Source organism: Homo sapiens, chromosome 10 (genome assembly GCF_000001405.40).
Source record: "Homo sapiens chromosome 10, GRCh38.p14 Primary Assembly".
Classification (NCBI taxonomy): Eukaryota; Metazoa; Chordata; class Mammalia; order Primates; family Hominidae; genus Homo; species Homo sapiens.
Window position 1 is genome coordinate 113,925,375 of NC_000010.11, and position 26,365 is coordinate 113,951,739.

General features: G+C 43.7%; 1 annotated feature.

The window, feature by feature from the left end:
- Positions 22,428–22,477: an enhancer, noted in NCBI's record as "active region_4073". NCBI's record gives its function as "activates an Ori minimal core promoter by ATAC-STARR-seq in GM12878 lymphoblastoid cells {active_cell/tissue: GM12878}" and the evidence as "EXISTENCE:reporter gene assay evidence [ECO:0000049][PMID:35858748]".

Here is a 26,365-nt window from a genome sequence, read left to right on the forward strand (position 1 = left end):
GTTGGAAGACTGACACTTCCTGATTTTAAAACTTACTACAGTTAGGATAGTCAGGGAAGTATGGTACTGGCATAAAGCCAGACATATGAATCAATGAAATAGAATTGAGAGTCCAAAAATAAATGTCAATGTTTATGGTCAATTTAAAAAGCCAGCTGGGATTTTGATAAGGATTGTATTGAATCTGTAGATCAGTTTGGGAAATATTACCATCATAATAATGACTATGGCATGTTTCTCCTTTAATTTAGGTCTTTAATTTCTTTCAGTGATGTTTTGTAATTTTCAAGGGAGAAGTTTTGTACTTCTTTTGATAAATTTATTCCTAAGTTTTTTTTTGGAATTATTGTGAATGGAATTCTTTAAGTTTATTTTTTTGATTATTTATTGCAATTGTACACAAGTACAATTGATGTTTGTATCTTAATCCTTTATCCCACAACCTTGCTGAACTTTTATTAGCTTTAATGTTTTTTTAGTGGATTCCTTGGGATTTTCTGTATTTAAGATCCATGTTATTGGTGAATATAATTTTTTTTTTTTTTTTTTTTTTTTTTTTTTTTTTTTTTTTAGATGGAGCCTTGCTCTGTCGCCCAGGCTGGAGTGCAGTGGCACAATCTCAGCTCACTGCAACCTCCACCTCCCGGGTTCATGCAATTCTCCTGTCTCAGCTGGGATTACGTAGCTGGGATTATAGGTGTGCACCACCACACCCAGCTAGTTTTTGTACTTTTAGTAGAGACGGGGTTTCTTCATCTTGGCCAGGCTGGTCTCAAACTCCTGACCTCAGGTGATCCGCCTAGCTCGGCCTCCTTTTTGAGCTGCAAAAGGCAGCTCCCTCATCTAAAAGTAACAGAGATCAATGTTTGATTTTAAGTGGACTTGGCTTTCAGGTGGAGCAAGTGTAACAGTGTCACATAAACCCATGTCAGGAAGAAACAGCAGCACGTGATTCCACTGAGAGATAGCTGCTGCTTGCAACATGGAGACAAGGATGTCCTGTTGGAAGTAAATATGGAAAGTTCCCGGAAGACCATCCATCACTCTGATCAAGCATTAGGTAAGTCTTATTATCCATCTGAATAATCACTGTTGTTTCTTTGCCAAGTAGAGGACCTCCTGCCTCCACCCCAATTTAACCACAGTGCCCAACAGCCTGATATTGGGCAGCAGCACTAGGTGATGGCAGGCCTGCCCTTGTGGCCTCCCAGAGCACAGCCAAGACGGGTCTCTCCCTTGGATTACATATCTGGGAGGAAAACCACCTCTCGCCCTAGACCTTTTTGTAAGGCAGGCTTCATTAGACGCACCCATGTTGTCATCTAATGCCTTTATTCATCCCCAGAATGGGAAGTTACACCTGTGAGAGCTGTTTTGTGGACTCAGAAGCCCAAGGGACCATGGGGACTGACTAGTGGAACCATCATATTCTCTGGGGAGTCAGACCCATAGATCTTGGTATTTATCCACTGCCCTATTGTTAGTGGCTGCTATGGTCTGAATATGTGTGTCCCATCAAATTTCATATGTTGAAACCTAAATCCCCAATGCAATAGTGTTAAGAGTTGGGGCTTGAGGAAGTGATTAAGTCATGAGGGCTCCACCCTCACGAATGGAATTAGTGCCCTTATAAAAGAGGCTTGAGGGAACTCCCTAGCCCCTTCTGCCATGTGAGGAGGCTCCAAGAAGGCATCATCTATGATGAACAGGTTCTCACCAAACACCAAATCTTCTGGTGACTTCCCCACCTCCAGAACTGTAAACAATAAGCTTCGGTTGTTTATAAATTACCCAGTGTGAGATATTTCATTACAGCTGCCTGAACGGACTAAGACAGCAGCAGAACTGAGTTTAGAACCCAGGTGTAGAGAAAGCCCAGTCCAGGGCTCTTCCTTCGTGGTGAACACCAGTATAGTCTTATTTATTGTAACATAGGGGCCTCTGAGACTGCTCAGAAACTCACACTGCAATTTTCTCACCCTACACATCAGAAAAAATGGCATCCTTTCATCTACTGTTTACTTTGTCTGAAGATTGATAAAATGTTTCCATACCCGTAACAAAATGAGCTTGCTTCTCATGAGATTAAATCTGTTATTTACCCATAGTTTAAACCTGGGCACAGCAGGAGGTGCCCTTGCCCTCTGGTGTCCTCCTAGGAAGGGTGCTACAACGCATAGAGACTTTTCAGATTCAGGTGTTTGCCTGATGAATCAGGGATTTTCCCAGAAATCTCAGGGTAAGAGCTCTTGTTCTTTACATTACGTTCCCAGGCCTGTTGTAAGTGGCAATGTGCATTAGGTCATCTTATCTTCACAACATCACCAGGAAGTGAGGACTGTCATTATTCCCATTTACCATTGAGGAAACGGAACCCAGGAGAGGGTAAACGGCACACCCAAAGTCACCCAGCCAGTGCTGCCAAGCCGGGACTCAAACCCAGATCTGCCCAACACTAGAGCCACTGACACTGCTTCATCGTGGGCAACAAAACCCTTTTTATTCAAGTGTTATCAATTTAGGATCTGACATATTTTGGATAGAGATAAAGTATAAAAAGATCACAGGAGGCAGTGTTAAAATTACATATGAGAATAAATTCAAAACACTTCAAAGTCTGTAAAACAAATGACATGTTAATTACAAATGTCATATCTCCATTTGAGCAAATCCCGAAAAGACTCCCTCTTCTGAGCAATTTTCTATTGCTCGAGGTTGAAAGTAATGAAACTGCATTTCCTTTAAAATAGTCTAATTCTGTGGCTCAATTGTTATGAAGAACTATCTAAGTGTAAAATTATGGCTTTAGTTTTACATGATGAAGAAACTAGACTTTTAAAATGTCTAAGATCTCTCTTTTTTTTTTTTTTTTTGAGACAGAGTCTCACCCTGTTGCTCAGGCTGGAGTGCAATGGCGCAATCTTGGCTCACTGCAACCTCCACCTCCCGAGTTCAAGCGATTCTCTTGCCTCAGCTTCCCGAGTAACTGGGATTACAGGCCCGCGCCACCTCACCCGGCTAATTTTTTGTATCTTTAGTAGAGACGGGGTTTCACCATGTTGGCCAGGCTGGTCTCGAACGCCTGACCTCGTGATCTGCCCGCCTTGGCCCCATAAAGTGCTGAGATTACAGGCATGAGCCACCACACCTGGCCCCAAAGATCTCTTTTATTGCTTAAAATTGAAAACATGAATCTTTGGATAAAACTTATAGTCAAAGTTTTTATAATCTAGGAAAGCTATTTGATTCTTACCACTGCTGAAACTACACTTCCTAAATTCTGCTTAATTTGCTAAAAATTCTATTAAATTTAAGCTATAAAGAAATCCTCTTGATGTAAATATTTTTGAATACATAAAATGTTACTTTATTGTTCTGCCATTTCATTTTCACCAAATGTTATTCTTTAGGGATTTCATCCAAGTGAAGAGTGCATAGACTTACGTACAAAAAAAATTAGTCTAATTCTGACTGTATGCATTTAGATCAACCTTGACTTCTTCCCTAAAAGACTACTTTTGTTTATTAAAATGCAAAAAAAGTTACAGAGAATAACAAATTAAACAAGCAATACATCATTTCAGTCCTGGAAATGAGACAGCCACAGAACTAAACTCACAGTAGTGAGAGGAGGTCATAACAAAGCCACAGCCAGCTCTCATGAAAGTCTCTAACTGTCCCCACCTAAGAAATAAACATTGGGCTCCAAAAAGGCCAGATGTCTTCAATGTCTCAGCCCAGCATTTATTTCTGTTTGCCATCCAAATTGACTCCCTCTTTGATGTCCCTTTCTTTTGCATGTGCTGGTACAATATAACTTAATTTTGAGGCATCATCAACCTGGTTTTTAAAACCAACTCCAATAATACTGCCTTAGTCTACAATTAGGATTAGGAACTTAAAAGGGTTCTTCTTACATTTCATTTGAAAATTGATGTCTGCAGTGCTTGTTCATAATCCTCATTACAATTGCTGGGAAATTTAAAGGGTGGGATTGCATTCTCATTTGGAGGAAAGGGTAAGCTGGTTTTCATGCTCTTCCCAGGCAGCGATCTCATTTAGCCTTGGTGTTTGGCGAAAAAGAAAGGGGAAGAAGAAGTTAACTGGAGAACTAGAAGATAGAAATTTGCCATGTGGGCAGTTTAAGGTTCTGTGACTCTGTCGGCTGATATGCTTCTAATTCAGGGCAAAGAGGGGTGAGAGAAGAGGGCTGGCGAAAAAATGAAAAGTGCATTTTAAGCCAGGGAGAGATCTGAAATCTTAAGCTGAGCGGCCACAGGAGGCTTAATAATCACTGGAGTGCATGCATGGGAGATTCCACTTCAAAAGAAAGGGAATGATGCATTAATGCCCCACGGACATAGTAATGCCCTAGGGACTCCAGGACTGTCCCTGTCACAATCTGAGAGCCATAGAAAAACCATTCAGTGCCAGGCTTACTTAGAGCGTGTCCTCCTTAAAATTGCTCCTCCAAAGGCTATGTGATGTGGAGCTGTGTCTGTGAGGGCCCTTGAAGCAACCGGATGCTTAGGCCAGAGAGGAATCCATTTAGGATTCGGAGGTACAAGCAGCTGTCCACAGGAAATCCAAGAGCCTTGCCTGAGAAATGAAGAAAACCAGGACACCTTTCACTGATTCCGTCTGCAGAACTCAAAAAGACCTGAATTTTCCTCCTTTATGTTGAGATACAAATCCAAATAGCTTTAAAAGAAACTTTTTTCAAAAAGTTTAATGCTTAAGAATCCAGAAGTCCTCCAAAGTCATGAAGTGGAATGTAATGTAATAACTGGAATCATTTGAGCAGAACATTGCTTAAAGAAACCTGCATGTTTATTAAATGACCACCTTGGATATCTTTCCTTTCAGAAAAAGAAGTTCGAATCTGGATGGCTGAAAAATAATACTTCCAGTTCATTCATATTATCTGCTTCCTCACCAGGTTAAGATAATAGAAACCTCATCATATGGAAAGGTCAAGACTCATGACTACGTGTGCAGCTCAAAACTTCATTTTTCTCTTTTTCAGGAGTCCTCTGCATTCTCATTAATCAAAGCAAAGTTTGCAAATTGTAGCTATGCAAAACTTGCATAAAATCATTTAGTCCTTGATTTTTTCTCTTTGTTCCTTTTCAGTTAACTTTCAAAAAAATTTTTCCCAAACATCTCCCACTTCAGGAAAAAATTTGACAACCCCTTATAAGCCTGCATATTTTGTGACAGAGCTATGATTATACTCAAGCAGCCTTGTCAAGAGAAGCACACTCCAGCTTTTTTCTGAACCTTGATTTTAAAGAGTGCAATGAACTCATTGATGTTCTAATAAGAGCTTTCTGCACGTCAGAAAAGGAAGGGAAATGGGTGGGACTTATAGAAGGTGATGGTTATCATTAATAAATGAAAGCAAAATAAATAAACATAGCTAGCTAAGCCATGCTACTGAAAGTCAATCTGGCCCTAACTCTCCAGGAAACATAATGGTTCAGTCAGGCTAAGGGATGCCAGGGGAAGAGCAACCCTTCTGGAACCCAGAAGACACCAGGTTTTGTTCTGGAATCTCTGGAATGCAGCTGTCAGTGGACGCAACAGGAAAGTGGGTTTCCTCTGATTATAGAGAAGAACTTGACAACAATTAGACATGTCCGTAAACAGAAAAGTCAGAAAAAAATTATGTACTCCCCAGTGCAAGAAGCGTGCAAGGAGAGGCTGGATGATCACCTGGCAGAGAGTGTGTGGAAAGTGTTTCTCCTTTGGGTATGAGGTGAAACTGGATAACTAAAGGCTTAATGTACCTTCTAACTCTAAGAATCTGTGATTCCATAGCTTTGGATGATCAAGAAAAGCCACTCTGGGCCTTGGTTTCCTTATCTGAAAAACAAGAGCCTTGGCACAAAATAGGCCATCTTAGGTCCGTCGCAGCCCAAGATGGTATGAATGACCACCTGATAAACTTGTGATGTTGGAGGCCAGGCTCAGGCATCCCAACTCACTGCCTGGCTTAGAAAGGGTCATCAAACTTCTCTGGGTCTTGCTCTGAAGTCGTTTATATAATCCATGGGCAAGCTTGAAGAACGAGGGAACACAGCCCACCAAGTGCTGGAAGCACCAGAGGAAAGGCAAATACAGGCCACATGCCTCAGGTTAAAATATTTTCAAGGCCGAAGGTTTACTGAACCTTATTTCAGACAATATCAATCAAGAAAAGCATTGAGACCATGCCTCAGAGTTCCTTGTCATGGAATTTAAGGGAGTTTGCCATAAAGCTTATATTGATTACTTGATTTATAGAATAGGTTTCAAGTCTCAAAGACTTGTTTCTAAAAAGGAAACACCTCCAGCAGGGAGGAGGCACAGTTTCTGCTTGTTTTCCAGAAAACTGGTACACCATGCTTCATTCCAGTGACTCCTGGCATTTGTGCCCTATTAATGTTTGGTATAAGTTGGTGCCCAAAGTGTGTTTGGATGAACAAAATAAGTTTTATTGAAAGAAAATGTCTGTTTGTAACAAAGCTATTTTAAACTTGTATATGCACTTCAAGTATGTATATTATATAACATATTTTTAATTACCTTGACAATTTGAATTGAGGTATCAGTAAGGCAAAATCTGTGAGGAAATAAAGACATCTGTGATAACATAGGGACATGGACATAGGTCAGGGTTACAAGGCTAAGTGAAGCTCTGGATAACTTTAGGCCATTTCCTGGCAGGCTTCTTAATTTCAGGTTGAATTTGTCCATGATGAAGTGGGTATTTGCCTCTCAGGGAGCCATTTAGTTCCATACATAGAGAGAAAGGATTTATATGACTCCAAAGAGAAACGTTGACTTATTTTTTCTTTAAGCTGTTGGGGAAAGAGAGGGTAAGGGTGCCTTTACCTATAAAGCTAAAATGCAAAGACTTTAAAGACTCTTTCTGCCTATAATGGTTTGAGTCTCAGGTCCCCAGCCATTGAGTTCCAGTCTAGCAGAGCTCACGCAGGGTAAGAAAGAGTCTCTGGAGCAGGCACAGTGGCTCCTGCTTGTAATCCCAGCACTTTGAGAGGCCGAAAAAGGCGGGTGGGTCGCTTGAGGTCAGGAGTTTGAAACCAGCCTGGCCAACATGGTGAAACCCCATCTCTACTAAAAATACAAAAATTAGCTGGACATGGTGGCGCATGCCTGTAGTCCCATCTGTAATACTCAGGAGGCTGAGGCACGAGAATCGCTTGAACTGGGGAGGCGGAGGTTGCGGTGAGTCGAGATTGTGCCACTGTACTCCAGCCTGGGAGGCAGAGTGAAACTCTGTCTCAAAAATAAAAGAAAGAGTCTCATCCTCTCTCCCAGCCCCTCAGGATCCCCTCCAAGCTTCTTCCCACTCATCCCCAAAACTTGCTCTGAATTCCCCCGAGAATACCCCCTGAGCGTTTTGTTGGTGCCTATTTTATGACATTCATCATATTCCACCTCCTGTTCAGCTCAACAGCCCAGCACTCCTTGACATGTTTATGCAGCTTTGTGTCACCTATGTAGGATCTGGTCCAAAGCAGGGCTTCAAGTAATTGATGAAGAAGTAGCTAACACATGGTTTAGGGTGTCACCCTTCCAAACCTAGATACATTGTAACAGGAGACTGGATGGAAGGATGGATGGATGGATGGATGGATGGATGGATGGATGGATGGATGGATAAATAGATGGATGGTTACACCCCACGGGAGCACACAACTTAAACTCTGAGTGATGTAGAGTCAGAGACTGTGCAGGTAGAAAAGTGGATTTATGGAGAAGATAGCAGAGAAGCAAATAGGGAGAGAAATGGAGAGCAGAGCTCTCTGTCCACTTAGTTGGGACAGGGAGAGGACAGAGAAGGGACTGAAGTGGATCTCTGTGCCTTTGCTTCTCCGTTTGCCAAAGGAGTGGGTTTGGATCATCTCTAAGGTCCCTTCCAGCTTGAGAGCCCACTGGACCACAAATTGTGAATTACTAGTCACTGGGCCCTGGTGAAAGTTAAGTGGTACAGCTGCTTTCACCAGATCAGCCAAACGTTGGCAAGCATTTTTGACTCCCATTTTAAGAAAAATCCTTAAACCTTAATCATAATTTCATATGATGAACTATTTGAGCTCCCAAAGAGGAAATTCTTGCATTTCAAAAACTGCAATTTGAGCACAAACCCCTTGCCATGGCCTTGAATCTGAAGAGCATCCTTTCTGCCTCCCTCTTCTTTTTTCTTTTCTTTTCTTTTCTTTTTTCATTTCGTTTTGTTTTGTTTTGAAATAGAGTCTCTTTCTGTCACCCAGCCTGGAGTACAATGGTGTGATCTCGGCTCACTGCAACCTCCACCTCCCAGATTCAAGTGATTCTCCTGCTTCAGCCTCCCAAGTAGCTGGGATGACAGGCATGCACCCCCAGTCCCTGCTAATTTTTGTATTTTTAGTAGAGATGAGGTTTCACTATGTTGGCCAGGCTGGTATTGAACTCCTGGCCTCAAGCGATGCACCTGCCTTAGCCTCCCAAAGTGCTGGGATTACAGGCATAAGCCACCGCACCTGGCCTCCCTCTTCTTTTGTAGAATGTTGCTGATTCCTCTGTGTGAGCCTACCAACTTGTATGCACAGAAGGACATGTCCCACAGCGATCCCACTACACCCACTCCTTTTCCAGCAGAACCCTGACCTTTGCTTCTTGTTATAAGCCAGCATAATTACAAGCAGCAGAGACTACCAAAAACTCTACACACACGTGCTCTCGCACTCATACACAGACATGGAGCTGCTGTGAACAAACTGTTCAAGTGCATTCAAGTTCAAGAGCATGAGTGGGAGAAGGGGAGAGAGATTTTAATCTTTGGCCTGTCACATGGGAGAAGAAAGAAAATATCACGTCCTCATGCCTGTGTCCTGTAATGTTTATCGTCTGAGATCACAGGCAACGAATCTCCTCCCTGTGTCCCGTTTCCTCCCCCAGCCCTGGGTTGGGGATGCTGGCTTGGAATTAGAGAAGACAGGATATGTGCTGATCAGTAGAGGAAAAGTGAAGACTGAGTTCTAGATGGAGCCTCAGGGGCTAGAAGATGGGGCCTAACCTGGGGTATATGTGCACTTTGACCCACTAGAAATTATGTCTTAATTTTTTATGTCTTTGCAGATGTAGTTAAGTAAAGAAGAAGTTCTACTGGATTAGGGGTGGGTCCTAAATCCAATGACTGTGTCCTTGTAAGAAGGCCATGTGTGGGAGGCCAAGGCGGGCAGATCGCCAGGTCAGGAGATCGAGACCATCCTGGCTAACACGGTGAAACCCCGTCTCTACTAAAAATGAAAAAAAAAATTAGCTGAGCGTGGTGGCGGGCGCCTGTAGTCCCAGCTACTCGGGAGGCTGAGGCAGGAGAATGGTGTGAACCTGGGAGGCGGAGCTTGCAGTGAGCCAAGATGGCACCACTGAACTCCAGCCTGGGTGACAAATCGAGACCCCGTTTCAAAGAAAAAAAAAAAAAGCCATGTGAACACACGGAGACAGGTAACCAGGGAGAGCACCATGTGAAGAGGGAGGCAGACACTACAGTGATGCCACTGCAAGCCAAGGATTGCCACGGATGGCCCGCAACCACTAGGCTGTGGTCTTTGCCTTCTGCCATTTTGTTCTGGGTTGAACAGTGTCCTCCCTCAACACTGTAGATATTGGGGCAGTCTGTAGCTGGAATCTCTTTTTAGAGATAATACATGTATGGATTTTCCAGGGATGGCATGACAAATTAGTACAAATTAGATGACTTAAAACAACACAGATTTATTCTCTCATGTTCTGGAGGCTAGAAGTCTGAAATCAAGGTGTTGGCAGGGCCACACGCCCTCGGAAGGCTCGAAGAAAGAACACTTCCATGACTCTTTCTGGCTCCTGGTGGTTGCGGGCCAACCATAGCATTCCTCGGCTTGCTGTGGCATCCCTCCATTTTCTGTCTCCCTCTACACATGGGGATCTCCCAGCGAACGTGTCACTGCGTGTTCACACGGCCTTCTTTTTTTTTTTTTTTGAGATTCAGTCTTGTTCTGTCACCCAGGCTGGAGTGCAGTGGTGCAATCTTGGCTCACTGCAGCCTCTGCCTCCCAGGTTCAAGTGATTCTTCTGCCTTAGCCTCTGGAGTAGCTGGGATTACAAGCGTGCACCACCACACCCAGCTAATTTTTGTATTTTTAGTAGAGATGGGTTTTCACCATGTTGGGCAGGCTGGTCTCAAGCTCCTGACATCAGTGATCTGCCCCCTTCAGCATCCCAAAATGTTGGGATTACAGGTGTGAGCCACTGTGCCTGGCCAGCCTTCTTATAAGGACAGAGTCATTGGATTTAGGGCCCACCCCTAATCCAGTAGGATGCTGTCTTTATTTAACTAATTGGATCTGCAAAGACCCTAGCTCCAAATAAGGTCATATTCTGAGGTTCTGGGGACACATGAATTTGGAGAGAGGACACTTCAACCCAGAACAATATGGCAAAAGGCAAAGGCCACAGCCTGAAGGTGAGGAGATCTGGGTTCAAGGTTTGGGTCTTTGACTTACTAGCTGTGTAGGGTTGGAGAAAGCACTTCAATTCTCAATGCTTCAGTATCTTCAGCTAAAAAAATGGAGATGATGATAATGATGATGCCTACATCTCAAGCTTGTTGTGAGACTTAGAGTGAGAAAGACTGAGATCTGTGGTATGGGAATTATCTAGATAGATTAAATGACTACTTTCAAGTTCACTACTGAGCAGGCTCAATCAAAGGTCACAGAGCATTGTGTGGTAGGCAGCTCCTAGGACAGCTCCCAGCAGTCACCTCTTGGTATTCATACCCTGTGTAATCCTCTCCCCTTGAGTATTGCCTGGACCTAATGATTTCTTTTTTTTTTTCTGAGACAGAGTCTCACTGCTCTGTCACCCAGGCTGGAGTGCAGTAGTGTGATCTCGGCTCACTGCAGCCTCCGCATCCCCAGTTCAAGCGATTCTCCTGCCTCAGCCTCCCAAGTAGCTGGGACAACAGACATGCACCACCATGTTTTTTTAGTAGAAACCGGGTTTTGCCATGTTGGCCAGGTCTCAAACTCCCAAGCTCAAGTGATCTGCTCACCATGGCCTCCCAAAGTGTTGGGATTGCAGGCGTGAGCCACCGTGCCCAGCCTGGACCTAACAATTTAATTCTAATGAATCTGGCAAAAATGATAGGGTGTCACTTCTGAGACGGGGTTCCACAGAGACTCTGGCTTCAGTCCTGCTCACCCTCTGCTGCTGTGTCTCTCTCTCACTGGGAGGGAAGCAGCTGCCACGTTGTGAGCTGCTCTATGGAGAGGCCACATAGCAAGGAACGGAGGGAGGCCCCTGGCCAAAGCCCGTGAGAAATTGGTGGATCCTGTCAGTAACCACTTAAGTGAGCTTAGAAGTGGATCACTCCCAGTTAGCCCTGAGATCACTGCAGCCCTGGCCAAGACCTTGATTAGAGCCTTGGGAGAGACCTTGTGTCATTATGTCATAATTTCTGGGGGTCGGGAATCTGGACATGGTCAGGCATTTTGACATAATAAATGTTAGCTATTTTAAGCCACTAAGTTTGGGGATAATTGTTACACAGCTATAGATAACTAATACAGCTTATTAAATCAACTTAAAAGCAAGAAACAAGAGGAAAGAGATGGGTTCAGATGTAAGCAGAGTGAAAGACAACATGAGCTGAGCCCTGGATTTTGCAATATTCGTGTATCTATCCAGTTTCTCTCCCTGCCTCACCAGCCTTGCCCACTGATGGCAGGGATTCTGAGGACCAGAGTTGAGGTGTGAGCAAAGGGACCATTTTTAGACCTCATGAATAGTGAGTGCCTCATATCATGTGTATATTTAGCATATCATGAATATTTGATGCTTTGTTTATGTATTTTAAATGCCTAACAAGTGTATTTAATGCATGCTTGGTCTCTCCATCCCTTTTTTGTTTGTTTAAAAAGTACTTTATTAACCTTAAAATATTACAGAAATAGGAGTAAACTGCATCCTTGTTATTCATGCCTTCTGCTTTTCTGGCCACTCATTTGCCATGTATTTATTTTGCTTAGAGTGACTTCTATCAAGCCTTATCAAACTCCTCTTCATCCTTCAAAGCCCAGTTTTCAGTCCATCTTCTCCAGAAAGCCTGCCCTGACATTTCAGCCAGCAATGTACTAGAGATGGCTCACACCAGCTCACAAGAACCAATTGTTAATATTTCATGAATTTTGTGAGCTGGTTATGGAACACAGGCATTATTAAAAATTAAGTTATGTAAACTCACAAGTAAATAAATTGTATTAAAAACTAAGGTAGGAAATGTCCAGAACTCATCACCTCTGAATTATAATACATTTTGCTATAATCTGTGCTCAAGTTCATTTACGTCTATTGCACCGTTAAAGTGGAGCTACTCTGTGACGAGGCACTCTTGAGTGTCTCTCCCCAACTCCATGTTTAATGAGTCAACTTGGCAACTTGAAATCGACCATGGTAGAAGTATGGTATTTACACCGTGAAAATTGGCAAATGCTACAAATTGGAGTTTTTATTTTCTTTCCAGGCAGTTGTTAAACATTTACCAGCACTGCCACTGGCCCCAGCCAAAGTAATCTAAACTCTCATAGCCCTCCTATCTTTTCTGCTCAGTGAATGGGCATTTCGCATTTGCTGCCTGAGTTACCAGGTACATTTCGTGTGTGTGCTTCTATGTACACGCATGCCTCCTCCCCTTAACTGGGTTATTGCCAGCTTTAGAGGCAGGGACTGTGTCTCCTTCAACCTTCTGGAGGCCCTTTCCTTAAATGACTGAACAAAATGTATCCATCTCCCAGCGTGAAGCCCAGCACCATCCTCAAACTTCCTGGCACTTCCAAGGGGCTTGCCCACTCACCATCTCCGCTCCTCCCCTTCTGGCTGCTGACCTGCTCCTGTTGCTGCTCTCTGTGTCTGTCCCACATCAGTCCCTACCTCTCCTCCTCTGTCCCCCACAGCACTATGGACACAGCAATGTAATTTTACCGCGGGTTTGGTAATGGGCTGGAGTACAGCAGAGGAATCGGTAATAATGCAACGTGAGGTATCACTTCCTTGATGCATCCGTTCCCATTCCTGGGATCTGTCCCTACCTTTTTTTCTCCATGGGGCCCTCTCCACCAGGACCCTTCTCTCTTTGTTTGAGGGTCCCCAAGTTCCAGTTTCCTTACTCATCAAGAGAAAATTTACAATCTATCTCACACAGTAATGACAAAAGATTTGTTCTCAATATTTCCTAAGGCCCCATCTTTGCGCATTTTTTTAAAAAAAGATGACTTTATTAAGGAGTTTTGATAAATAAAAGAGTTTAGCAAGGCAAGGAATTGTAGAAGTTTTGAGAATATTTACACATTATTTAAAAAAAAAAAAAACATACTCCAGATCAATTTCATAGGCATCTATCAGAACATCTATCAGAACCCAGAAGCATTTACTCCTTCTCACTATGCTTCTGAACATGCCTTTGGATGGACTGAGACTGATATGCATCCCATCCTGGGTAACCTGACCCTGCACTCCCAGCATCTTCCTGAGGTCAGGAAGCCCTAGCAGGTGACTTCCCGGAATCCCCAGCTATTCTGAGATTGGCTTTGAAAACCATCATCCTTGCATCCTCTCCAGCCCTCTCGCCTTCAGAACCTCTATCCCTGAGCTCACACACCCTGAAATCACATCTCTTTGAGAACTTTTACAGACTCGCTTTTTTTTTTTTTTTTAAGAGACAGGGTCTTGCTCTGTTGCCCAGCAAGCAATCCTCCCTCCTCAGCCTCCCAAGGAGCTCAAGCGATTCTCCCTCCTCATCCTCCTAAGTAGCTAGGACTGTAGGCGCGTGCCACCAAATGTGGCTAGGTATTTTATTTTTAGTAGAGACAGGGTCTCTCTATGTTGCCCAGGCTTGTCTGGAACTCCTGGCCTCAAGCAATCCTCCTGCCTTGGCCTCCTAAAGTGGTGGAATTACAGATGTGAGCCACCACCCACCGCCTGACTCACTATGCATTGTCTCTCCCAAGCATCAACTGATAGAGATTTTTCCTTCCTGGAAGCACTCCTTATCCCCATAGGCCACTTCCTGCCTCCTGTTACTAGACATTTCTGGGTGGAAACATTTTCTGTCTCCAAAAGGAGACTTCAGGTAACAAAGGCAGGGACCATTCTAGCTCCCCCACCTTCCCTTGGTATCTTGTATTTCTGCAGCAGTTTGCTCATAGTCAATGTTCAGTGCAGTAAAAACCCTGCAACCTTCACCTGATAAAACTGCTTTCTCCAACACTTCCAATGTGAGGCTGCCCCCTTGCTGTGTCTACCGTGTGCACGTTACATTCATGACAAGGGGAAGACTTTTTTCTCTGCAGTAAAAATGATGTATACAGTGTACCGAAGGTCCCAAGGCTAAAAATGGGCTCATGAAACACTCAGACACCTCATTAAATGCACCTCTTTCTCATCCATGATGATGATCGTGAAGAGTGAGTAACCTTAATATCTCAAAACCACAAGTAGTCAAAAAATAATTTATATCTGGCACTTATATTATTCTCTTATATTGTTCTTAGAGTTCCATTATAGACTCACACATTTTTAGAATGAAAAGACTAGTCTGTTCCCCTCCCTTTAAAAAAAATTGTGATATACTGGGCAGAGTAGTAGTTCCAGCTACTTGGGAGGCTGAGATGGGAGGATCGCTTGAGCCTAGGAATTCGAGACTGCAGTGAGCTATCATCATGACACTGCACTACAGCCTGGGCAACAGAACGACAACCTGTTTCTAAAATAGATAAACAAATTTAATTCATTAAGAATCCAGACAGTTGCCCATTGCGGCACCCAGACAGATGGGCTTCCTTTCGGGCTGTGAGCAGCCAGTTAGGACGCCCCACCCGACTTAAATGAACTTAACAGTAAATCCTTTTGGGGAGTGAAGAGTCCTCTTTCCCCCTCACCCTTCCTTTTGTGAATTGAAATCTTTGTGAACACTGTTTTCTTAAAGCAGAATTCGCTCTACAGCCACGAGAAGGAAGGCTATCCATTGTCACGGCTGCTTCGACGATATTCTCTTACAAGAAAAACTTTTTCACTTTATCTGCCACCCCCCGACCTTTTCTTTAAACAACAGCAGCAGATGTTGGAGATGGGGTCAGAGACTGCTGGAGACCAGCTTTCCTACAAGAGGGTCCCATGTAGGAGTTGTCCTACTTCTTCTCAATTCCTCCAAATCAGGGTCTCAGAGTCCGTTATGACGGCTTGGACTCGGAACTGTGCTGGTGCAGTTTAAGGTCCGGAGCATCCCTTGGAAACGTTTTAATGTTCCTGACAGATCATCAGTCAAATCACCATGTCCTCATTTGGAGTTCCCAGCTCTCTGAACTGAACTCTGTCTAGCTAAAAAGGGAAGGAAAATACTCCATGTGCTCTTTACTGCAGGATCCAGCCAGATATGAGCCTACTTTCATTGTCAGTGGCACCAAAATCCAGATCATCACCCTGGCTGGAGACTCCAAATAGCTCCCCAAGGCCACGAACCTTGTGTAGACTTGGGGTTTGGAAGAGGTCACTTTGGATCTCACAAATGCACCTCAGTCCACCTCCGGAGCCTGAAAATGTTTATCAGAATGATTTGAAGTTCAAATTAACATCAGATGACTAGCCAAGGCACCCCCATTTATGTTATAAAATCACATTTTCCAAGCTGGAAAGGATCTTGGAGATCTTTGAGCCCAATCTCCTCATCCTACAAATGAGGAAAGGTGGGGAGAGCAGCGAGTTGAAGAGGGTCATCAAAGGACATGCTGCTGGTTGGTAAACAGAGACAGGGCCAGAACCCAACCAGGTCTCCTAACTCCCTATGACCATAATTCTTTCCACTACAGCCCGTCCGAGTTTCCAGATAACCAAAACATTGACAAAACCCTGCCGATGGCCCACCAACTTCAGTCAATATTTGCTATGACAAAATTCCAGCAGAACCTAGAGATTTTGAAATCTGTATTCATGTGACTTGATGTGTTCAACTGGAAAGAGACAATTTTTGACTTTTCTCTATGTGACAAGGCTATCTGTTGATTTAGGTCACCCACAGTGAGTGTTTTGTACTCTCTTACCAAATTCACACTCCATAAGTGTTCCATAAACATCCAGCCCATTTCTCCTGCTTCTTCACCCCCAGAAAGAACCCGCATGACAAATACTTTTTGGTTCCTTGAGGTGAATTGACCAGGGGTAGCAGAATTAGGATGAGGATTTTCTGGCATTTGGTCCTGGGGGCTTCACTTGACAGGGCCATTGAACCAAAAGTCAGGGGACCTGGGTTTGAGCACCCGCCTGCGCAATCCCTGCCTGGTTTCTTTGGAAAGGCTCATACCTGGCCTGGCCTGCAGAAGCCAGGGGGTTTAAGGAGCTCCAGCCCTGGGCTCTCAGCTTTAAGTCCAGCCGGCCTCTCATTTCCCAGGTTGGTCTCCACACTCTGTTCTTCTGCACCTGGGGGGTGACCTGCCATGGCATCATCATCAACAGGTTCTGTGTTTTGTTTTTCTCTGCAAACTCATTCAAACTCACTTTCTCCCCCATAACCCTTTCTATGACAGACTTCCCCAGTGCTTGGTCCTGGACTCTCTGTCACTGCACTGACCACCTCTTGGGACATATGACCATGCTGGGCTAGACCCCTGATATGGTTTGGCTGTGTCCCCACCCAACTCTCAACTTGAATTGTAATAATCCCCACATGTCAAAGGCAGAGCTACGTGGAGATAATTGAATCATGGGGGGTGGTTCCCCCATACTGTTCTTGTGGTAGTGAATAAGTCTCATGAGATCTGATGGTTTTATAAAGGGGAGTTCCCCTGCACAATCTCTCTTGCGTGCCACCATGTAAGACGTGCCTTTGCTTCTCCTTTGCCTTCGGCCATGATTGTGAGGCCTCCCCAGCCATGTGGAGCTGTGAGTCCATTAAACCTCTTTCCTTTAGAAATTACCCAGTCTTGGGTATGTCTTTATTAGCAGCATGAGAACGGACTAATACACCCCTCCAGTGCTGAAAGCTCACCTGGCCTTGGCTGGGGTGAAGTACCTGGTGGTTCTGATTCTACATGTCTGTATACATTCAATTCCCCAAACTAAACCTCTCTCTGGCTTCCCTCCCAGTCTCAACTAGGTCTCCCTCCCACCTCCCACTCCCACTGTATATATATATAATATATATTATATTATAATTATAATATAATATATATTATATTATATATTATATATAGTATAAATAATATATATTATATAATATATAATATATATTATATATAGTATAAATAATAGATATTATATATTATATAATATATATTATATATTGTATAAATAATATATAATATATATTATATAATATATAATATATAGTATAAATAATATATATTATATATATATAAAACTCCCATATTATATATATATATATATGGGAGTTTATTAAGTATTAACTCACATGATCACAAGGTCCCACAATAGGCTGCCTGCAGGCTGAGGAGCAAAGAGAGCCAGTCCGAATTCCAAAACTGAAGAACTTGGAGTCCAGTGTTCGAGGGCAGGAAGCATCCAGCATGGGAGAATGATGTAGGCTGGGAGGCCAGGCCAGTCTCTCTTTTCACATTTTTCTGCCTGCTTGTATTCTAGCTGCACTGGCAGCTGATTAGCTTGAGCCCACCCAGATTAAGGGTGGGTCTGCCTTTCCCAGCCAACTGACTCAAATGTTAATCTCCTTTGGCAATACCCTCACAGACACACCCAGGATCAATACTTTGTATCCTTCAATCCAATCAAGCTGACACTCAGTATGAACCATCACACCCACCAACCCTCTTCCCCACCTCCCATCACCCCACAGCCTTTGGGTGGGCCCAGTTTCAGAGTAAGGGTACCCTGTCTTACGGAAATGAAGGGGCCAGGCTGGGCACACGTGATTCACAGGAGTACTGTGCATACACACACATGCAAACACAGGCATGAGAATCGATGGAACAGGATGTGAGGATTTGGCCATTAGAAAAGCAAGGCTGGGCCAGGCGTGGTGGCTCATGCCTGTAATCCCAGCACTTTGGAAGGCGGAGGCGGGTGGATCACTTGAGGTCAGGAGTTCAAGACCAGTTTGGCCAATGTGGCAAAACCCCATCTCTACTAAAAGTACAAAAATTAGCCGGGCATGGTGGCAGGTGCCTATAATCCCAGCCACTTGGGAGGCTGAGGCAGGAGAAGCACTTTAACCCAGGAGGCGGAGGTTGCAGTGAGCCAAGATCATGCTGCTGCACTCCAGCTTGGGCAACAAGAGCAAAACTCCGAAAAAAAAAAAAAAAAGGAAAGAAAGAAACGAAAAGCAATGCTGGGTTTCATGATGTAAGTTTGATTATCTACTAATGTCTTTAAAGTGACCTAGTTTTGAAAGAGAGTTGAAACGTACCCACTAAATGAGGAAGATGAACACTGAAAATTTGAACATGCTGGTGGGTTCATCCTGTCCCCAGGCTCACATGGGTGTCATGGAAATATGGAAACTCATTAGCCACAGCAGATACCAAAACAAGACTGAATTTTGAGGGCCTGTTGCTGAAGCAGGTGTGTATTTCTTCTTAAAAGTCCTAAATCTGGTGGTATAATGAAGAGCCTTTGTTTCTATTTAAATTTTGTTGATCAAAAATCTGGGTTCATGATTTGTCCCCTTGACAATTTCCAAAAGCAAGTGTCTTCCTCACACAGCCCTCAGATGAATCCAGCGTGGGCCGGTGTCCTGTACTTGGGATTCTCCCTCTCTCCTAGAGCCCTGAGAAAGGTCACATGGGGAGCGCAGTGGGAATAAGCTGGCGACCCCTGGGTGGAAAGCGGTGCAGGCTGAACAGATGGAGCTCCGTGGAGGCCCCAGAGGCCCCGGAAGATTAATCGCAGCTCCCAGTTGACGTGGGGACAGGAGGCACACACAAAGTTGGGGTGTGGTGGTCACAGAGGCTGAGTGCACAGAGGATGTCATGGAACAACTGGCTTTGGGGCACCTTTTGACCTCTTGTTCCATCCTGAACCTAGTAATTCAGAGATGTAATATTCGTACAGTCAGTCCTGCAATTGCTCCATATGGTAGTTCCTTAGAAGTGTATGTTTTACTTGCAAGTTTTCAAAAGCTTTCCTATACTTTTAGGTTGGGTTCCCCAGAAACAGCCTAGGAAGAAGATTCATGTGCCAGTGACTTACAATGGAAGTACTCCCACAAGAAACCAGCAAGGGAACGGGGGAAACAGGAGAGGGAAGTGGGAAGAGACCCAGCACAGGTATGCGTTCAGGTGCAATCCCAGCCTCAGCAGACCCTAAAGGGGACCCAGGAGTATAAATTACAGCTTACGGTTTATCCCCCGGCGGGGAAGGGAACTGTCATTAGCTACAGGCCACTGGGGCCAGGATGGGCTCATGAATTCCCAGAATGTTCCAGATCTTTGCTTGTGGGAGAAGAAGCTCCAGTAGCCCAAAGGCCAGCCTCCAGAGAAGTTCTCATGTGGGAGCTTTTAGACAAGAAGCACTCAGAACCTGGGAGACAGACACGCAGAAGCAATAACATTCTCCTAGGAGGCCTGGCAGAGCTAGTGCACTTGATCCAAAAACCACTGGGGAACGGGCATATATCCTCCATTTACAGAATGGGGAAACTGCGATAAAGAGCCACTGTGCCCAAGGCCGCACACTCAGTGTAAATAACAGAGGCTGACAGAACCCACCCCGCGCCTCAGTCTTCCAGGCTCTTCCTTCGCTACCACATAAGTGGACTTTTCTTACTGTCTACTGTGGCTATCCACCCTGCCCAAGGTGACACGCGCCCAGGGAAGGAATGTAATCAGGAAGTCAACTCAGCTGCATTCCAAAGCCAACTGGAAATTCCTTTCAGATTTGCTGCTGGTTTTTATTATACTCAGCTATTAATCCCCTATCAGAACAGGTTATCAGGATCTGGTAGCAGCTTCTTACTTATTAATCTCAACACCTCTGGGAAACAGACTGCAGAATAGGTTAGTTTTGATGAACAAGCTCACCATTCTAATGTGCCTTACACTGTCCCCACTCACTCCACCCCTGTACCTGTGCCATCCCTGTACCTGTGCCATCCCTGTCCTACCTGGGCAACGCCTTCTCCTCGACTCCCTTCAAAGTCATATCCTACCTTCAGGCAAGATCCCCACTTAAGCCTTTGAGCATGTTTTGTCAAGACATCCACTACCCAGGGCCTGCTCCCCTCTGACCTTGGAAATCGGCTGTGCAGCCTCTTGGTAGTGTCTCTTTCTGCCTCCCTTTTTAATGGGTTTCTCTCCAAAGCAAAGATCCATTTCTTAGGACATCTGCAGCCATATTCTCTGTATATTCTGCAGTGTCCAGTGTGATGCTTGTAAACAGTGGATGTTTGGATAGCATTTAGCCACTCAACACTGGAGAAACGTGGCAGCACCAAGATCAACCTCAAATCACGAGCTCAGCTCAGCCTGGAAATGTGTCCTGTAGATGTTCTGATATGCGTTTCCTCTTTGAAACTGGGTGGGATCTAGGAGACTTTCTGTTCAGGACTGCCCCTCTAAGGGGTGCCAGGGAAAGGGGCGGGCTCTGGAGTCAACCTGCCTGCCTGGGTTATTAACTGTGTGGCCTCAGACAAATTTACTTCACTTTTCTCTGCCTCCATTTTCTACTCTGTAAAATGGGGTTAATAATATAAAAAGCACCCGTCTCATGGGACAAGAGGATTAAATGAGTTAATGTATTAATGAACTTAGGAGGGTACAGAATAAGCACCCTAAATAGATCTACCGCTGGGCGTGGTGGCTCATACCTGTAATTCCAGCACTTTGGGAAGCTGAGGCGGGTGGATTACCTGAGGACAGGAGTTCGTGACCAGCCTGACCAACATGGTGAAACCCCATCTCTACTAAATACAAAAAAATTAGCCAGGTGTGGTGGCGCATGCCTGTAGTCCCAGCTACTTGGGAGGCTGAAAGAGAAGAACCCCTTGAACCCAGGAGGCAGAGGTTGCAGTGAACCAAGATTGTGCCATTGCATTCCAGCCTGGGCAATAAGAGTGAAACTCCATCTCAAAAAAATAAAAAATAAAAAAATAAATAGACCTACCTATTAGTAGTAGTATTGCTATTGTTATTTTACAAAAGTCAGAGGGTTAAGGAATTTGCCTCAACATTTTATATCTAGGAAGATTATGCTCAAATATCACCTTCTCAATGAGACTTTCCCTGGCCACCCTATTTTAAATGGCAGCCATCCCCTTTCCCATACGTCTCATCCCCCTCTCCTGCTTGTCAGCTTCTAACCTGCTATGTAATTTACTTTTTTTTTGTCTGTTTCCCCAACTATAGGGGAAGGCAAACACAGGGGTTTCTGCCTATTGTGTTCCCTGCTGGATCCCCCAAGGGCTGGAACAGTGTCTGGCACACAGTACGGACACAAGAAATATTCATGGAATGATGAAGCAGCAAATCTAGGATTCAGTGATGTTTTGGCAGCTGTGAGCATCACCACACACTGGCTTGGGTGATGGCCTTGACTGTGGCTTCCTATATACAGTCTTCCCTCTCAGCCCCTACTCCCAACACCCACAAATATACTGTGATAGTTCAGCAGCAAGTCACAGAAAAGACTCAACTTCTACACGGAGGCACTGCATGAATGAGAAGAAAGATAGGCCACAAGAGGATGGCTATCTCATCATTTTTATTCTTCCACTTTGGTAACAAAGCCCTCAGGCGTGGGTCCACCTGAGACTGAACTCTACCATATAGATGTGTGCTGTCCAATCTAGAGGCCATGTGCCACATGTGAGTATTCCGCATTCGGCATGTGGCCAGTGCAGACTGAGATGTTGCTGCCAGTCAGCGATGCATTCAGTTCCGAGCCCTGCCTTTTATCAAGCTGCAGGACCTGCGCCAGACCCTCTGCTTCTGCCTACCCTCCTCTCCAGCATGGTGGTTGCCAGACCTCCCCCAGCTTCCTCAGTACCTGCTGCAAGGCCTCCCTACTTGAAGAATCTGAGAGCATCAAGGTTTTCCTGGCCTGCCTTGTCATCCCTGATCTAAATCAGCAAGGGCGGCTCTGGGCACAGCTGCTGTAAATGCAGCCCCTGCCCACGGGAGAGGAAATGAAGGGAACAGGCTTCTCTGCAAGGCCTGGCCCAGCGTTCCCTGGACTGGCCCTGGGGAAGCTTGGAGCAGGAGGGGCTGGGCCAGTTGCTTAGTCCTTTGAAGCTGGAATAGCTGCTTGGGTGGGGCAAGTGTGTGGATGGGGCAGGTTTTTTTTCTTACTGGCAAGAATTTCTGCTTCCAATGGCATTCATCTTTCCCAGGAACTCCCTTCAGCTGGAAGAGAAAAGAAAAAGCAAACAAAAGCAACCCTCCCTGAACAAGGAGACTTTCTTTCTATGACTGTGAGTCCCCGATAAGAAAAACCCTCTACCATTTGTGGCATCCTGTTCTAGAACCACGCCTGCAACTCCTCTCCCTGGCAAGGCCTCTCTGGGTGTGATTAATGGCAGTGGGGGTGCTGAGTGGCCTTCAGGTGGTTGCCACAAGGTCAGCAGTAGATGAACTGTTGGCGCTCGGGGACATGAATTCAAGCTGTCAGCCAAGTGTGCAAAATTACCCAGCTGAGGCTAATTTAATTCTCTCTCTCTCTCTTTCTCCTTCTCTCTCTCTCCCTTCTTAATTATAACTTAGACACATTGCCTGGTAGACACTTAAAAGAGATTAAAATGACCATATCATCGTTTTTATTTTTCCACTATGGTAACAAAACCCTCAGGCATGGGTTCACCTGACCTTGAATTCTGCTGTATGGATCTGTGCTGTCCAACCCAGAGGCCATTTGCCACACGTGACTATTGAGCATTCGGAATGTGGCCAGTCTAAACTGAGATGGGCTGTAAGTGAAAAATAGGCACTGGATTTCAAAGACTTAATATGACCAAAAAAAAAAAAAAAAAAAAAGAACTAGCTCAATAACAATTTTTATATTGATTACACGTTGAATGACAATATTTGGGATATATTGGGGTAAACGGAATATATTACTAAAATTAGCTTTACTTTTTAAAATGTGACTATTAGAAAATTTAAAATTGGGCCAGGCACAGTGGCTCACACCTGTAATCCCAGCAGTTTGGGAGGCTAAGGCAGGCAGATTGATTGAGTTCAGGAGTTCGAGACCAGCCTGGGCAACATGGCGAAACTGCATCTCCACAAAAAAAAAAAATATATATATATATATATATATATATATATATATATATATATATATATACACACATATATATACACACATATATATGCATATATATATACACACACATATATACATATATATACATATATATGTGTGTATATATATGTGTGTGTGTGTGTGTGTGTGTGTGTGTATATGTGTATATATATATATATATATATATATAAATTAGCCAGGTGTGGTGGCACGTGCCCATAGTCCCAGCTACTCGAGAGGCTGAGGTATGAGAATTGCTTGAACCTGGGAGGCAGAGGTTGCAGTGAGCCAAGATCGTGCCACTACACTCCAGCCTGGATGAAAGAGAGAGACCCTGTCTCAAAAAAGAAAAAAAAAAAGGAAATTTAAAATTGTATACATGGTTCACATTATCTCCTATTGGACAGTGCTGGTATAGAACTCAGTTTTCTTAGGATCTAAGTCTCTACATTCAGACCAGGAAGACAATGTGTTGGCCTTGCCTGCCTGCCTTGCACAGTCAACCCATTTTTCCCAGGCTGCAAGAGAAGCAGAGCAAAACTTTACTTCTTGCTCATTATTCATTCCAAAAATCCTGAGAAAGGAGGTGAGCATAGGACTTTCCTCAGTCACTCAAAAGCTCCAAAAGGAATTAAATTCTCATTTTTCTCCAAAGGCAAAGCCATGGTAGTTCCTGCAGCAGGCGACCCTTGTTTCCAACAGTACCTCTTATTTAGACATACTCATTATTTCAGTATCGTCTTTGTAATTCACTGTTCTTCTAACTAACCAATTAATAAACTGTGTTTGGAAAACCATTTATTAGCAGCCAACTCAAGGATATCCCTGGTTGGAAATGTTTAGGCATAAGTCATATCATTATTGCTAGGTGCTGCCCTGACTTAAATCTCCTAAAAGAAATTTCTATAACCAGTGCTTGGGAGATAGGAATACCTATACCAGCTCTTTGACTAGCAGCTGCGTGATCTTGAGAAATCCACTTCCCTGGGCTGCACATTCATCATCTATAAAATTGGCAGGTGCTTTCTAAGGGTCTTTCTACATTTTATGTTAGATTTAAAATTCTAGACTTAAGAAACCTCAGTTTTTTATATTGGATCTTGACTGGGACAAGCTTAATGATTTCTATCATAATTACGATGCAGTAACAAAAAGTTGAGCTTTTTGTAGTCAACTTTCCAATATTATTCAGAAGTTTTCTGACTATCTTATAACATTTCTCTTCTTTTAAGTTTGAGGTTATCGAATCTAAGCAGCAGAAGAACCCTTAGTATGTCCTTGTTATTTTATAGTAAAAATCACATCTGGTTTGTGTAATCACCCCAGAGTAGCAATTTAGTAATGTCTTTCTAGAACTGTAAAGGTCATCTCCCATGATCCTATAGTCTCCTTGGAATCTATCTTAAGGAAATTATCAGAAATTTGAACAAAGATTTATACAGAGAGTTAATGAACCAAGCTACTTAACAAAGCAAAATAATAATATAATAATAAACACAATTGGAAAGAGCCAGATGTCTAGTAATGGGTGAATGGCTAGATAGGAAGATGATACATAGATAGATAGACGATAGACAGATAGGTAGACTGGTAGACAGATGATAGATAGATAGACAGGTAGACAGATGACAGATAGATAGACAGGTAGACAGATGATAGAGAGACAGGTAGACAGATGATAGATAGGTAGACAGATGATAGACAAGTAGACAGGTAGATGATAGGTAGATAGACAGGTAGATAGATGATAGATAGGCAGACAGATGCTAGGTAGATAGATAGACTGATAGGTAGACAGGTGATAGATAGACAAGTAGACAGGTAGACAGATGATAGGTAGATAGCTAGACAGGTAGATAGATGATAGATGGATAGACAGGTAGACAAATGATAGATTGGTAGATAGATAGATAGATAGATAGATAGATAGATAGACTGGTAGACATGATAGATAGATAGATAATGGATACATAGACATATAGGTAGACAGATGATAGATAAACAGATAGATATGTAGATAGATAGATGGACAGATACAGTAAATCCATACAATAGAATGTTATCACAATATTACCAATGATTTCTACAAGCTGCTTCACAACAGGGGAAATGCTCCTGACGTATATTTTCAAAATCAGATTGGAAGACAATTCTTCAAAATCTTAACAGCAATTCTACCTAGGGAGGGGTCTTTATGGGTGATTTTTATTTTCATTGTCATGCTTTTCTATATATTTTCCTAATTATTTAATAATTCCAATTACTTTAACAATCAGAAAAATAGTGACTTTTTTTTTTTTGAGATGGAGTCTCTCTCTGTTGCCCAGGCTGGAGTGCAGTGGCACGATCTCAGCTCACTACAACCTCTGCCTCCCGGGTTCAAATGGTTCTCCTGCCTCAGCCTCTTGAGTAGCTGGGATCAAAGACACGCACCACTACACCCAGCTAACTTTTTATATTTTTGGTAGAAATGGGGTTTCACCATGTTGGCCAGGCTGGTCTCGAACTCCTGACCTCAAGTGATCCACCTGCCTTGGCCTCCCAAAGTGTTGGTAGTACAGGCGTGAGCCACTGCGCCCGGCCAAAACAGTGACTTTTAAAAAGAGAAATCATTGTGCTTTTCTAAGCCCTGTGGTGTTGAAGGCTTTGTTTGGTTCTGTGGTGGATTCATAGCTGAAGTGGAGAATCTAGCAACCCACTTGCTTTTGAACAGGACTCAGTGCATTATGGTGTTCAATGAAGCTTTGGTTCATGATCAAATGAAGACTTAGAAAAAAATAAAGTATAAAGAGTCAAGGAAAATAATTTTTTTTTTCAAATGAATGCTGCAGAATTTTTTTTTTTTTTTGAGACAGAGTCTTATTCTGTCTCCCAGACTGAAGTACAATGGTACAACCTCAGCTCACTGCAACCTCTGCCTCCTAGGTTCAAGCGATTCTCCTGCCTCAGCCTCCCTAGTAGCTGGGACTACAGGTGCATGCCACTATGCCGGACTAATTTTTGTATTTTTAGTAGAGATGGATTTTCACCACATTGGCCAGGCTGGTCTTGAACTGCTGAGCTCAAGTGATCCGCC